The sequence below is a fragment of the Homo sapiens genome, chromosome 11 (genome assembly GCF_000001405.40).
Source record: "Homo sapiens chromosome 11, GRCh38.p14 Primary Assembly".
NCBI lineage: Eukaryota > Metazoa > Chordata > Mammalia > Primates > Hominidae > Homo > Homo sapiens.
Genome location: NC_000011.10, coordinates 9,225,086 through 9,239,258, shown reverse-complemented (window position 1 = coordinate 9,239,258; position 14,173 = coordinate 9,225,086). Strand labels below are relative to the sequence as shown.

At 42.7% G+C, this 14,173-nt stretch overlaps 1 protein-coding gene across 5 annotated transcripts in view, besides 2 other annotated features; it reads left to right on the top strand.

Moving 5' to 3' along the window:
• DENND5A (DENN domain containing 5A) overlaps positions 1–14,173 on the top strand; it is a 126,526-nt gene that overhangs the window by 26,092 nt on the left and 86,261 nt on the right. The window lies entirely within an intron of this gene.
• Positions 8,224–8,824: an enhancer, noted in NCBI's record as "NANOG-H3K27ac hESC enhancer chr11:9251982-9252582 (GRCh37/hg19 assembly coordinates)". NCBI's record gives its function as "activates a minimal SCP1, AML or CMV promoter by ChIP-STARR-seq in naive and primed H9 embryonic stem cells {active_cell/tissue: H9 hESC(naive and primed)}" and the evidence as "EXISTENCE:reporter gene assay evidence [ECO:0000049][PMID:30033119]".
• Positions 9,427–10,027: an enhancer, noted in NCBI's record as "H3K27ac hESC enhancer chr11:9250779-9251379 (GRCh37/hg19 assembly coordinates)". NCBI's record gives its function as "activates a minimal SCP1, AML or CMV promoter by ChIP-STARR-seq in naive H9 embryonic stem cells {active_cell/tissue: H9 hESC(naive)}" and the evidence as "EXISTENCE:reporter gene assay evidence [ECO:0000049][PMID:30033119]".

The window sequence follows — 14,173 nt, the reverse complement described above, 5'->3', positions numbered from 1 at the left end:
TGAATTTGAGTCCAGCGTGGGCAACGTTGTGAGGCTCCTGTCTCTTAAATAAATAAATAAATAAATAAAATGTTGAGTTTTAAAATACAGTTTCTAATAGAAAACTTAGAAATTGTAGAAGGATGTAGGCCGGGCGCAGTGGCTCACACCTGTAATCCCAGCATTTTGGAAGGCTGAGGTGGGCAGATCACCTGAGGTCAGGAGTGCAAGACCAGCCTGGCCAACATGGTGAAACCTGGTCTCTACTAAAAATACAAAAATTAGCCGGGTGTGGTGGCGTGCACCTGTAATCCTAGCTACTCAGGAAGCTGAGGCAGGAGGATCGTCTGAACCCAGGAGGCGGAAATTGCAATGAGCCGAGATCAAGCCACTGCACTCCATCCTGGGCAACAAGAGTGAAAATTAGGTGTCAAAAAAAAAAAAAAGAAAAAAGAAATTATAGAAGGATGTGGAAATAATTCACTCATTATCCCTTTATCTGGAATTAGGCTTTATAAGCATGTTGATGCCTTTATATAGTTCCTTTCAGTTAAAAAATATTTTTGGGCCGGGCACAGTGGCTCACACCTGTAATCTCAGCACTTTGGGAGGCCGAGGCGGGCGGATCACAAGGTCAGGAGATCGAGACCATCCTGGCTAACATGGTGAAACCCCATCTACTAAAAATATAAAAAATTAGCCAGGCTTGGTGGCGGGCGCCTGTGGTCCCAGCTACTCGGGAAGCTGATGCAGGAGAATGGCGTGAACCCGGGAAGCAGAGGTTGCAGTGAGCCGAGATGGCGCCACTGCAGCCTAGGTGACAGAGCGCGACTGCATCTCAAAAAAAAAAAAAGTAATTTAAAGACAGTAAAGTGCACAAATTCTAAGTATATAAGTATATAGCTTAATATATATATATACACACACACACATGCATTTAATCATCACCCAGATCAGTTCTTTCCAGATTTTACTATGTGTAGGTGTATGTGTATATATTTTAACAGAGTGATAATGTGTAATGTAAAATTTTGTTTTGACTTTTTTCACTTGATGTTCTATCATGAATATTTCTTGATACTGTATCGTGAGTATGCTCCTGAAATTCCATCGATCTTAGTTAAGAGTTAATTATAAGGAGCAGAGACCCACTCAAAAAACCCACTCAAGTTGAATTCATATCAAATTAACATGTTGTATATGAGATAACAGACAACATCTTAAAAGATGATCCCACATCAAAACAAAGATCTTTCTGGTGGACCCGTGGAGTATTTAAGATTTTTCTTTTTTCAAATATCCATGTACACTTATTTTTACACACTTGTAGGGGTTTTTCTGGAGCATTAATTGCTAAAACTGGACTTTGGTGAATCCAAGAAATGTACTTTTTTTTTGAAATGGAGCCTCGCTCTGTCGCCCAGGCTGAAATGCAGTGGTGTAATCTCGGCTCACTGCAACCTCTGCTTCCTGGGTTCAAGCGATTCTACTGCCTAAGCCTCCCTAGTAGCTGGGGCTACAGGTGCTTGCCACCACGCCCGGCTAATTTTTGTATTTTGAGTAGAGACGGGGTTTCAAGTTGGTCAGGCTGGTCTCGAACTCCTGATCTCAGGTGATCTGTCTGCCTCGGCCTCCCAAAGTGCTGGGATTACAGGCATGTGCCACACTGCACCTGGCCCAAGAAATGTGCATTTTAAATTTTAATAGATATTGCTAAATTACTTTCCTTAAAAATTGTGCCAATTTAGACCTCTGCTAGTAATGTTTAACATTCCAGTTTCTTTATACCTGTAATAAAGTGTTACCGCTTTTCTGAAACGTTTCCAATCTGCTAGGAAGAACATATCTTTTTTTCTGGAGACGGAGTTTCACTCTTACTGCCCAGGCTGGAGTGCAGTGGTACAATCTTGCCTCACTGCAACCTCTGCCTCCTGGGTTCAAGAGCTATTCTCCTGCCTCAGCCTCCCAAGTAGCTGGGATTACAGGCGTGTGCCACCACACCCCTGGCTAATTTTTTGTATTTTTAGTAGAGACGGGGTTTTACCATGTTGGTCAGGCTGGTCTTGTACTCCTGACCTCAGGTGATCTGCCCATCTCTTCCTCCCAAAGTGTTGGGATTACAGGCGTGAGCCACCGTGCCGGCCCAAACATATCTTGTTTTAATCTGAATTTAATTATTAGGCTGAACATCTTTTCATATAGTTCATATACATTTGTTTATTCTATGAATTGTCTGTTCAGGCCTTTTGTCCATATTTCTGTTGTGGTGTTTATCTTTTTTTCTGATTGATTTGTGGAAACTCTTTTTCTGTTACGAATATTTTGTTGTATGTGTTCTAAATATATTTCTGTGCATTAAAAACAGGTTGTCAGGAAATATATCAAAACTTCAAACATAGTCACAATGAAATAATATATACATACACATAATATATATTTATAAAATTGGGATCATCAGAGAAATACAATTTTGTATCCTTTGCCTGCCTGCCTGTCTTCCTTCCTTCCTTCCTTTTTGCTCTCACTCTCTCTTCCTTTTCATCTTTTTCTTTTTCTTTCTTTCGAGGCAGAGGTCTTGCTTTGTTGCCCAGGCTGGTCTCAAACTCCTGGGCTCAAGCAGTCTTCTTGCCTTAGCCTCCCGAGTAGCTGAGATTACAGGGTTGTGCCCAATGCCTAGCTTGTGTCTTCCATTTTTAATTTACTATTTAAAAATGCTAAATATTTCTTTTTTTTTTCTTTCTTTTTTTGAGGTGGTGTTTTGCTCTTGTCGCCCAGGCTGGAGTGCAGTGGTGCAATTTTGGCTCACCACAACCTCTGCCTCCTGGGTTTGAGCAATTCTCCTGCCTCAGCTTCCTGAGTAGCTGGGATTACAGGTGCCCGTCACCATGCCCAGTTAATTGTTGCATTTTTAGTAGAGACAGGGTTTCGCCATATTGGCCAGGCTGATCTCGAACTCCTGACCTCAGGTGATACGCCTGCCTCGGCCTCCCAAAGTGCTGGGATTATAGGCACGAGCCACTGCGCCCAGCGAACTTTATTTGTTTTTTTTTTTTTTTTGAGACAGGGTCTCCCTCTGTTGCCCAGGCTGGAGTGCAGTGGTGCAAACATGGCTCACTGCAGCCTCGACCTCCTGGGCTCATGTGATCCTCTTGCCTCAGCCTCCTGAGTAGCTGGGACTACTGGGCTAATTTTTAAATTTTTTGTAGAGATGGATTCTCACCTTGTTGCTTAGGCTGGTCTTGACCTCCTGGTCTCAAGCAGTCCTCTTGTCTTGTCCTCCCAAAGTGCTGAGATTACAGGTATGAGCCACTGCACCTAGCCCGTTTAAAAATGTGTAATTCAGTGGTGTTTAGTATATTTATGGTTTTGTGTAGCCATCAGCATCATGTAGTTTCAGAACATTTTCATCTCCTCAAAAGAAAATGCTGCACTCATTAAACAGTTACTTCTCATTTCCTTGTCTCCCAAGCCTGTGGCAACTAGTAGTCTGCTTTCTCTCTCTGGATTTACCTATTCTGGATGTTTCATGTAAGTGGAATCATGCAACATGTGGCCTTTTGTGTTTGGCTTTTGTGTCTGGCTCCTTTCAGGTAGCGTGATTTTTTTTCTTTTTTTTTTTTTTGAGACAGAGTCTTGCTCTGTCGCCCAGGCTGGAGTGCAGTGGCGCGATCTCAGCTCACTGCAACCTCCATCTCCTGGGTTCAAACAATTCTCCTATCTTAGCCTCCTGAGTAGCTGGGATTACAGGTGCCCGCCATCGTGCCCAGCTAATTTTTGTATTTTTAGTAGAGACAGGGTTTTACCACATTGGCCAGCTGGTCCCGAACTTCTGACCTCCAGTGATCTGCCCATCTTGGCCTCCCAAAGTGCTGGGATTACAGGCGTGAGCCACCCCGCCCAGCCTAGCAGGATGTTTTTAAGGTTCATCCATGTTGTAGCATGTGTCAGCACCTTATTCCTTGTTATGGCTGAATAATATTGTATTATTGGGATATTTATATGGTATGAATAATACGTACCATATTTTGTTCCTTCATCTGTTGATGGACACTGGGGTTGTTTCCACTTTTTGCCTGTTGTGAATAGTGCTGCTATGAACATTCATGTACAAGTTTCTGTCTGAACACCTGTTTATGTATATATCCAAGAATGGAATTGATGGGTCATATAGTAACTCTGAACTTTATAGTAACTTTAAGAAACTGCCAAAATGTCTTCACAGCAGTGCATCATTTTACATTCTCACTAGCAATGTTTCAGGTTTGCGGATGCCAGCTGGGTCAGGGAGACCCTAACCCAGCGGCGCTAGAGGAGTAAAAGACACACACACAGAAATATAGAGGTATGGAGTGGGAAATCGGGAGTCTCACAGCTTTCAGAGCTGAGAGCCTTGAACAGAGATTTACCCGCGCCTTTATTAACAGCAAGCCAGTGATAAGCATTGTTTCTGTAGGTTATAGATTAACTAGCAGTATTCCTTATGGGAAATAAAGGGATGGGCCGAAATAAAGGGATGGGTTCGGCTAGTTATCTACAGCAGGAGCACGTCCTTAAGGCACAGATCGCTCATGCTATTGTTTGTGGTTTAAGAATGCCTTTAAGCGGTTTTCTGCCCTGGGTGGGCCAGGTGTTCCTTGCCCTCATTCTGGTAAACCCGTAACCTTTAGCGTGGGCGTCAGGGCCATCGCGAACATGTCACAGTGCTGCAGAGATTTTGTTTATGGCCAGTTTTGGGGCCAGTTTATGGCCAGATTTTGGGGGGCCTGTTCCCAACAAGGTTTCCACTTTCTCCATATCCTCATTAATACTTGTTTTTCATTTTTTGCTGTCGTCGTGTTTTAATCTGTATTTCGTTGACTACTACTCAAGTAGATTGAAAAAAAATTACTCATTCTTTATATTGGTATTGTGAATTGTCTGTATACTGGTTATAATTTCTCTTTTTGCTCATTTTTTTGGGGGGGGGATCGGTGGGAAAGATTGAGGTTTGGGCACTTTTGAATCTCTCTTTCTTAGGAAAGCTGGTGAGTTTGCTACAGAATTGGGGTGAGTAAAGGAATGTGGTTTGGAGGGTATATTAGTTGCCTTTTTTTTTTTTTTTGAGACGGAGTTTTGCTCTGTTGCCCAGGCTGGGGGTGCAGTGGCACGATCATGGCTCAGTGCAGCCTCCGCCTCCTGGATTCAAGCCATTCTCCTGCCTCAGCCTCCCGAGTAGCTGGGACTACAGGCATGTGCTACCATGCCCGGCTAATTTTTGTATTTTTAGTAGAGACGGGGTTTCACCATGTTGGCCAGGCTGGTCTCGAACTCCTGACCTCAAGTGATCCACCCACCTCGGCCTCCCAAAGTGCTGGGATTACAGGCCTGAGCCACTGCACCCAGCCTATATTAGTTTACTGTGGCTGTGGCAACAAATTACCACAAACTGGGTGGCTTAAAACAACAATAATTTATTTTCTCACAGTTTTGGAGGACAGAAATCCAAAATCAGGGTGTCAGCAGGGCACACCCCCTCAGAGGCTCTTGGGGAGAATAATTCCTTGAGCTTCTGGTGACTGTTGGCATTATGCTTTGGTTTCTGACTACACCACCCTAATCGCTGCTTCTGTCTTCTCATTGCCTTCACCTTCATGTGTATCTTTTCCTCTGTGTCTATTATTTTAGGGATACCTATCATGGTATTTTGGGTACACTCAACTACTCCAGGATGATCTCATCTCAATATTTTTGACTACATCTGTAAGATCCTTTTTCCAAGTAAGATAACATTCATAGCTTCTGGAGATTAGGATGTGGACATACCTTTTTTGGGGCCACCATTCAACCCACTCCAGAGGGTCTAAAGGGTGGGTCTTGAATTTCTTTTTTTTTTTTTTTTTTTGAGACAGAGTCTCGCTCTGTCGCCCAGGCTAGAGTGCAATGGCGCGATCTCAGCTCACTCCAACCTCTGCCTCCTGGGTTCAAACAATTCTCCTGCCTCAGCCTCCTGAGTAGCTGGGATTACAGGCACCCACCACCATGTCCAGTTAATTTTTGTATTTTTAGTAGAGGCGAGGTTTCACGATGCTGGCCAGGCTGGTCTCGAACTCCTGACCTCGTGATCCGCCTGCCTCGGCTTCCCAAAGTGTTGGGATTATAGGCGTGAGCCCCTGCGACTGGCTGTCTTGAATTTCTTAGGATGTGAGCAAGAAGTAGTCTACTTCAGTCACTATTTGCCTTCCCACTCACCACAGGTAACCAGTATTTTGACTTCTAACAGCATAGTTTTTCATGTCTTTGTACTTTATATAAATGTAATTATATATGGTGAACTCTTGTGTTTGGATTCTTTTGTACAATATATTTGAGAGGTTCATTCATATTGTGTATAGTTTTAGGTTGGTCGTTCTCACTGCTGTAGAGTTTGCCATTGTGTGACTTTACCACACCTTATCTGTTAATTCTGCAGTTGATAGGCTCATGGGTAGTTTGTAGTTTTTGAGTATTACAATAGTGACATGTTATGAACATTCCTGTATGTGCCTTTTCGTGAACATGGCTTTTGGTCTGTTGGGTATATGCTCAGGAGTGGAATTGCTGGGTCATAGGTATACGCATGTTCAGCTTTAGTAGGTGCTGCCAGACAGTTTTCCATAGTGATTGTACCAGTTTACATTCCCACTTGCAGTGCACGACAGTGTAGGTTACTCCCTATCCTTACCAACTCTTGGCATTTTCTTTTCATTTTAGCTATTCTGGTGGTTATATAATAGTATTGTATTATTTAAATTTGAATTTTCTGGATGACTAATGAAGTTGAGCACCTCTCAAAAGTTTATTAGGCATTTATATGTCTTTTTTGAAGTATCTATTCAGGGCTTTTGCTGTTTTTCTTTGAGTGATCTTTTTTTCTTTATTGATTTAATGCAGTTCTTTATATGTTCTAGATATGTCTTTTTTGTTCATTTCATATATATATAGTGCAAATATATTCTTGTAATCTGTGCGTTTTCATTCTTTTAATGGCGACTTTCAAGGAACAAAAGTTTTAAATTGTAATGTACAATTTATACGTTTTTCTCTCTTAATGTTTAGTGCATTTTATATCTTTGTTATTGCAGGATCATGAAGATGTTCTGTGTTTTCTTCTAAAGGCTTTATTTTTTTACCTTTCATATTTAGATCTACAGTCCTAGGGCTAATTAATTTTCTTAAACAGTCTGCTGTTAACACTACTCTGTACTGCCTGAAAAAAAGCTTCCCCATTTTTTTTTCTTGGCCGTTTTTCAGCATTCTGCAAGTGAAAGAGAAACATTACCATTGCTGTCACAGCTGGGCCTGAAGTACAAAAAGGCTTTGATATGACCAATACAGTGCTTTTAATGCAGATTTGATAAAACAAATGCTAGTCTTTGTGCTTTGATATAGTACCAGTTGGTAAAATTTTAGTGGTTAGGAAAGTCTGTTAAAAAAAAAGAGAGAGAATTTATTACTATAAAAGTTCTTAAAAGTAAAGGAAACTTTCTCTTATGTTACTGAGGGTAAACTAACAGGAAGCTCCCAGAGTCTTTTTTTTTTTTTTTTTGAGACGGAGTTTCGCTCTTGTTGCCCAGGCTGGAATGCAATGGCGCGATCTCGGCTCACTGCAACCTCTGCCTCCTGGGTTCAAGTGATTCTCTTGCCTCAGTCTCCTGAGTAGCTAGGATTACAGGCATGCGCCACCACTCCCTGCAACTTTTGTATTTTTAGTAGAGATGGAGTTTCTCTATGTTGGTCAGGCTGGTCTCCAACTCCCGACCTCAGGTGATCTGCCTGCCTCTGCCTCCCAAAGTGCTGGGATTACAGGCGTGAGCCACCGCGCCCAGCCTGGCTCCCAGAGTCTTAAATCTGCTTATGTGCTATGGGGAAGAAGAGGCTGCTGGGTGGTCCCTTATAAGTTGTGGTTTGAAATCTGAATTTGCGGACTTGTCAGTGTTCTTAGTATAGCCACGTTTGCTGCTGTGGGCTCTGCCGTGGTATACATTCTGTGAAACAGATATGTGTTGCCACTTTAGTGCAGTAGAGGTTTGCATGTTAGGAAACATTTGGTAACTTCTAGCACATTTATGTGTCCTGTTTTCATGGCTAAAGATTTTGAGATAACTCTTGCATGTATGACAGACCTTTTGGAAAGAAAGGAGCTAATATTTGTTGAGTACCTCTTATGCTCAATACAAATGTGTCCCATATGCTTTACATATGTTAACTCATTCATTCCTCTCAATAGGCTGATGAGGTAGGTAGTTTTTTGGGTTTTTTTTGTTTGTTTGTTTTGTTTTTGACAGAGGGTCTTGCTCTGTCACCCAGGCTAGAGTGCACGCTAACTGCTCACTGCAGTCTAGACCTCCAGGCTTAAGTGATCTTCCCATCTCAGCCTCCCTAGCAGCTGGGACTACAAATGTGTGCCACCATGCCTAATTTTTCTATTTCTTTGTAGAGACCGGTCTCCCTATGTTGTCTGGGCTAGTCTTGAACTCCTAGGCTCAGGTGATCTACCCGCCTTGGCCTCCCAAAATTCTGGGATTACAGATGTGAGCCACTGTGCCTGGCTTAGGTATTGTTCTCCTCATGTTATAGATGAAGAAATTGAGATTTATGGAAAAGATGCCCTTAGTGTTTCTACAGTAAGGGCAGAAAGATGTGATACCTTTCCTCACCCATCTTAAGGTTCAATGGCTGACACTTCTGCAACAAAAGACAAATTAACAAGAAGAAAGCATAAGAGGCTGGGTGTGGCTCACACTTGTAATCCCAGCTCTTTGGGAGGCTGTGCTGGGAGGATTGCTTAAGCCCAGGAGTTTGAGACCAGCCTGGGAAAAACGGTGAGAACCTGTCTGCAAAAAATTTTTAAAAATTAGCCTGGCGTGGTGGAGCATACCTATAGTCCCAGCTACTTGGGAGGCTAAGGTGGGTGGATCGCTTGAGCTCAGAAGGTTGAGATTGTAGTGAGCTCTGTTTGCACCACTGCACTTTGGCCTGGGTGAAAAAGTGAGACTTGTCTCAAAAAAAAAAAAAAAAAAAAAAAAAAAAAGCATTAGTTTTACATGAAATGGGGCCGGGCGCGGTGGCTCATGCCTGTAATCCCAGCACTTTGGGAGGCTGACACGGGTGGATCACGAGGTCAGGAGATCGAGACCATCCTGGCTAACACGGTGAAACCCCGTCTCTACTAAAAATACAAAAAAATTAGCTGGACGTGGTGGCAGGCGCCTGTAGTCCCACCCAGCTACTCGGGAGGCTGAGGCAGGAGAATGGCGTGAACCCGGGAGGTGGAGCTTGCAAGGAGCTGAGATCACACCACTGCACTCTAGCCTGGGTGACAGAGCAAGACTGTCTCAAAAAAAAAAAAAAAAAAAAAAAAAGAAATGGGAGCTTTCAGAAATGAAGACCCAAAGACCTAGGGAAAACTGTTTTTATGCTTAGGCTCAATGAAGAATGAAGAAAGGGAGAGGCCTGTAGAAATGTTAGTAGACAAAGGGTGTTATCTAATGGTAATAGACTGGGTGGGGCAGGGGGACCCAGCAAGGCCTGTCTGTTCAGATTCTTCTTGGACTCTGTGCAGCATTCCTTCTTCCTGGGTATAGGGCAGGACCCCGCTGGAGCTGAGGGTCTTCAAGGAAAAGGGGAGAGAGTGACATTTTTAGGTATTATGGCTTACTTTGGGGGAGAGGTATATGTTTGAGTAGGAGGTAATACTTTTTAGGTATTATGGCTTGCTTTTCTATTATCTGTGACCCGCCTTGGGGAAAGGGGGATTCTGGTTTCTATGACTTGCTTTGGGGGAGTAAGAGGAGTGAGACAGGAGGGCAAGGAGAGACTTTGCTTCTGAGGCTATTTCTGAGGTCTTCCGGTCTCCTTTAGTTCATAATACTCAGCATGTCAAGGTGTCTTACTTAGGGGTATCATTTTTTGAGCCTCAATACCATGCATTACACCTCTGACACCAAATGTGTGGTTTTTTCCCCACATTTGTAACTTGGCCAAGGTCTCTGTGATAAATGCATATTTGGGCCAGGCGCAGTGGCTCATGCCTGTAATCTAACACTATGCTAACCAATTCTGTAACTCTCTGGTTACCAGCTGGGTGTCCTGCAATTCAATTCAATTGTTATTATTATTTTTTTCCAATTCAGTTCAATTCTGACACTAACTGCCTAGGCTTAGTGCACACTCCACAGGTTAAGTGCTTAGTCTCACAAGACTGTCCCCACTTCAGATGCCAGTAAAGTCCCAGATTGCCGCCCGTCTGTACTTTGACCAACCTGCTATAAGTCAGGGGTTCCCATGACCCCTTCCTAAGTTTGCATAATTTGCCAGAATGGCTCATAGAACTCTGGAAAGTACTTTACTTACTATTACCCATTTATTATAAAGGATATAACTCAGGAACAGCCAAGTGGAAGAGATGGATGGGGCAAGTTTGCGGCAAGATGTGTGTGTGGAGCCTTCGTGCTCACGCTGAGTGCACCATTCTGCAATACTTAAGTGTGTTCATCAACCCAGAAGGTCCCTGAACCCTGTTGTTTATGTTTTTTTTTTTTTTGAGACGGTGTCTCACTCTGCTGCCCAGGCTGGAGTGCAGTGGTGCGATCTCGGCTCACTGCAACCTCTGCCTCCCGGGTTCAAGTGATTCTTCTGCCGCATGCCACCACACCCGGCTAATTTTTGTATTTTTAATAGAAATGGGGTTTCACTATGTTGTTCAGGCTGGTCTCGAACTCCTGACCTCAGGTGATCTACCTGCGTTGGCCTCCCAAAGTGCCAGGATTGCAAGCATGAGCCACCGCACCTGGCCTTATGGGTTTTCAAAGTGGAGTTTTCATTACTGTGTTGGCACGATTTTGAAATAATTGCTCACTGGTGATTAACTCACTTCAGCGTCTCTCTCCTCTCTGCAGGTGGTGGTGGGGAGCTGAAAGTTTCAATCCTGTAATCATCCTTGGTCTTTCTGGTGACCAGCCACCATCCTTAAGCTATTAGCTTAAGCTATTTAGTAGGTATTAAGCCACTAAATTAGTGGCCCTGGTCACCAGTCATGTCATTAGCATACAAACGCTGTGCTCATCTGGGAGATTCCAAAGGTTTTAGGAGCTGCATGCCAGTAACCAGGGACTAAGACCAAATGTAAGTTTTTTTTTTTTTTTTTTTTTTGAGATGGAGTCTTGCTATCGCCCAGGCTGGAGTGCAATGGTATAATCTCCCCTCACTGCAACCTCCGCCTCCTGGGTTCAAATGATTCTCCTGCTTCAGGCTCCCAAGTAGCTGGGATTACAGGCATGCACCACCATGCCCGGCTAATTTTTTGTATTTTTAGTAGAGACAGGGTTTCACCATGTTGGCCAGGTTGGTCTCGAACCCCTGACCTCGTGATTCGCCACCCGCCCCCACGGCCTCCCAAAGTGCTGGGATTTACAAGCGTGAGCCACAGTGCCTGGCCTCATTTTTTTTTTAATTTAAATTTTTTATTTTTGTAGAGATGGTATCTTGCTATGTTGCCCAGGCTGGTCTTGAACTGGCGTCAGGTGATCCTCCCATCTTGGCCTCCCATAGTGTTAGATTACAGGCATGAGCCACTGCACCTGGCCCAAATATGCATTTTTCACAGAGACCTTGGACAAGTTACCTAGAAGAAATTAAACAAAACATGGAACTAATATTTGAGTTCTAAATTTTCCTGTCTTTAAAGTCCTGTGCCTTCCACTATAGTGTATGTAACACAGAATATACTGCACTACCTTCCCAGCTTCATCTGGATGAGATGCCCTTTCAGATTTGAGGGGACTCCTTTGCCTAGAGAAGGAGGTACACATTTACTAAAATGTGCTCATGCGTTCCAGGAGTTACTGGTTTTTAATTATAAATTTGTATGTTTCCATAGCACTTAACATGGAGTTGTATAGATAGTTGGAACTCAATAGAAAAGTGATGGATTAGTTGTTTGAGTGATCGTAATGTAATAATGTAGCAAAACGGCTCAATGTGGGGTAGATAAGGTCTTTATAAGTCCCATGGTGATTGAGTGGAGAAAATATCACTCTGTGCTTGCTTGCTTATTTATTTATTTATTTATTTATTTATTTATTTATTTATTTTGAGATGGAGTTTCACTCTTGTTGCCCAGGCTGGAGTACAATGGCGTGATCTCACCTTACTGTAACCTCTGCCTCCCGGGTTCAAGCGATTCTCCTGCTTCAGCCTCTGGAGTATCTGGGATTACAGGCATGTGCTACCATGCCCGGCTAATTTTGTATTTTTAGTAGAGACAGGGTTTCTCCATGTTGGTCACCCTGGTCTCGAACTCCTGACCTCAGGTGATCTGCCCGCCTTGGCCTCCCAAAGTGCTGGGATTACAGGTGTGAGTCACCACTCTCGTCCTTGTGCTTATTTTCATAGCTTGGATTTATTGACAGGGTGTGAGTATGATGTGAGGTTTTGGGTGAATTGTTTTGAGTCTTGCACATTCAGTAATATTTGTAGGACATGGTGATGAATTATGGGGAAATTTTCACCTTAAGGAAGTATGTTAATTTTCACAACTCTTGTTTAGCTTACTTTAGATCGGTCAGTTTGGTTTTTGCCACTGTGGTAAGAAGAGCTCTGTTATAATTAGCATCTCTGCTTCCTCTTACAGTTTTATGAATTTAAAAAAAAGGAAAACTTTATTGTGTTAAATAATTCTTCAAGAAGAGTATTTTATGTTGGGTGATACTCTAAATGTGAAATCCCAAATAACCACATTTGAAAAACAAAAACAAAAACAAAAAACCTTGAAGATTGAAATAGCCCCAGAAACTTTTTTTTCCCATTGTCAAGGTAAATTATATATAGATTGGAAAGGATAGAACAAATCGATTAAGAGGAGACTGAAATTGAGATCATTACTCATTTATACAGGATCATTTAATTGCTCTGAATGAGAGTCTCCTGACCCAGACAAATTATACCGTAGGGTTCTAGATAATTTTGGGATGAGATCATTCAGTAGATGTCAATAACCTTTGAGGAATCATAGAATTACCACAAGAAGACATAATCTCAAAACTGGGAAGAAGGTAACAGCATGACATGTTCCAGTCAAAATCTAGAATAGCTTATTAATGATATAATCTGAGGGTTTAGAAAAAGACCTGATTGATGATAATGGTGATGATGATGATGATAATGATGATGATGATGATTTTTGAGACAGGGTCTCACTCTGTTGCCCAGGCTGGAGTGCAGTGGCATGAGCACAGCTCATTGCAGCCTTGACCTCCCTGGCTCAATCAGTCCTCCCACCTCAGCCTTCCAGGTAGCTGGGGCCTAGGCACATGCCAACATACTCAGCTAATTTATTTGTTGTAGAGATAGGGTCTTGCTATGTTGTCCAGGCTGGTCTTGACCTCCTGGGCTCAAGCAATCCACTCAACTTGGCCTCCCAAAGTGCTGGGATTACAGGCATGAACCACGGCACCTGGCCAAAACTATTATTGTTATTATTATTACTTATATATATTTTTTGAGACAGAGTCTTGCTCTGTTGCCCAGGCTGGAGTAGAGTGGCGTGATCTTGGTTCACTGTAACTTCCACCTCCCAGGTTCAAGTGATTCCCCTGCCTCAGCCACCCGAGTAGCCAGATTATAGGTATGTGCTACCATGCCCGGCTGATTTTTTTTGTATTTTTAGTAGAGACAGGGTTTTACCACGTTGGCTAGGCTGTTCTCGAAATCCTGACCACAAGTGATCGGCTGGCTTCAGCCTCCCAAGCATTGGGATTACAGGCGTGAGCCACCGTGCCCGCCCCAAAACTATTATTATTAAGAGCCAACATCTGCCCACTAAGAATATGTTAGGTTACACTAACCATGTGTTCATTCAGGTGAGTACATGGATAGAACGGGGAATACTGTGAGCTACCATTTTTGGATTCAAGAATGTTTCACAGGAATGACTAGGATATAGTTGGGAATAAGAGAGAAATTTAAGCTATATGATGAAATAAATGATGCAGAAGTAGAGGTTATAGGAAGAAGATGTGAGCTAATATCAACACTTTTTAAAAAATGTAACACTTTTAGTTGGCTGCGAGTTTGATTTATGGCAAAAGCGTGATTTAGTTGCCAAAAATTGTGATTTTTAGTTGCAATTCTAGAGATACATTGTCAAAAAAGAGGGAGTGGATAGTCCTGTTTTAAA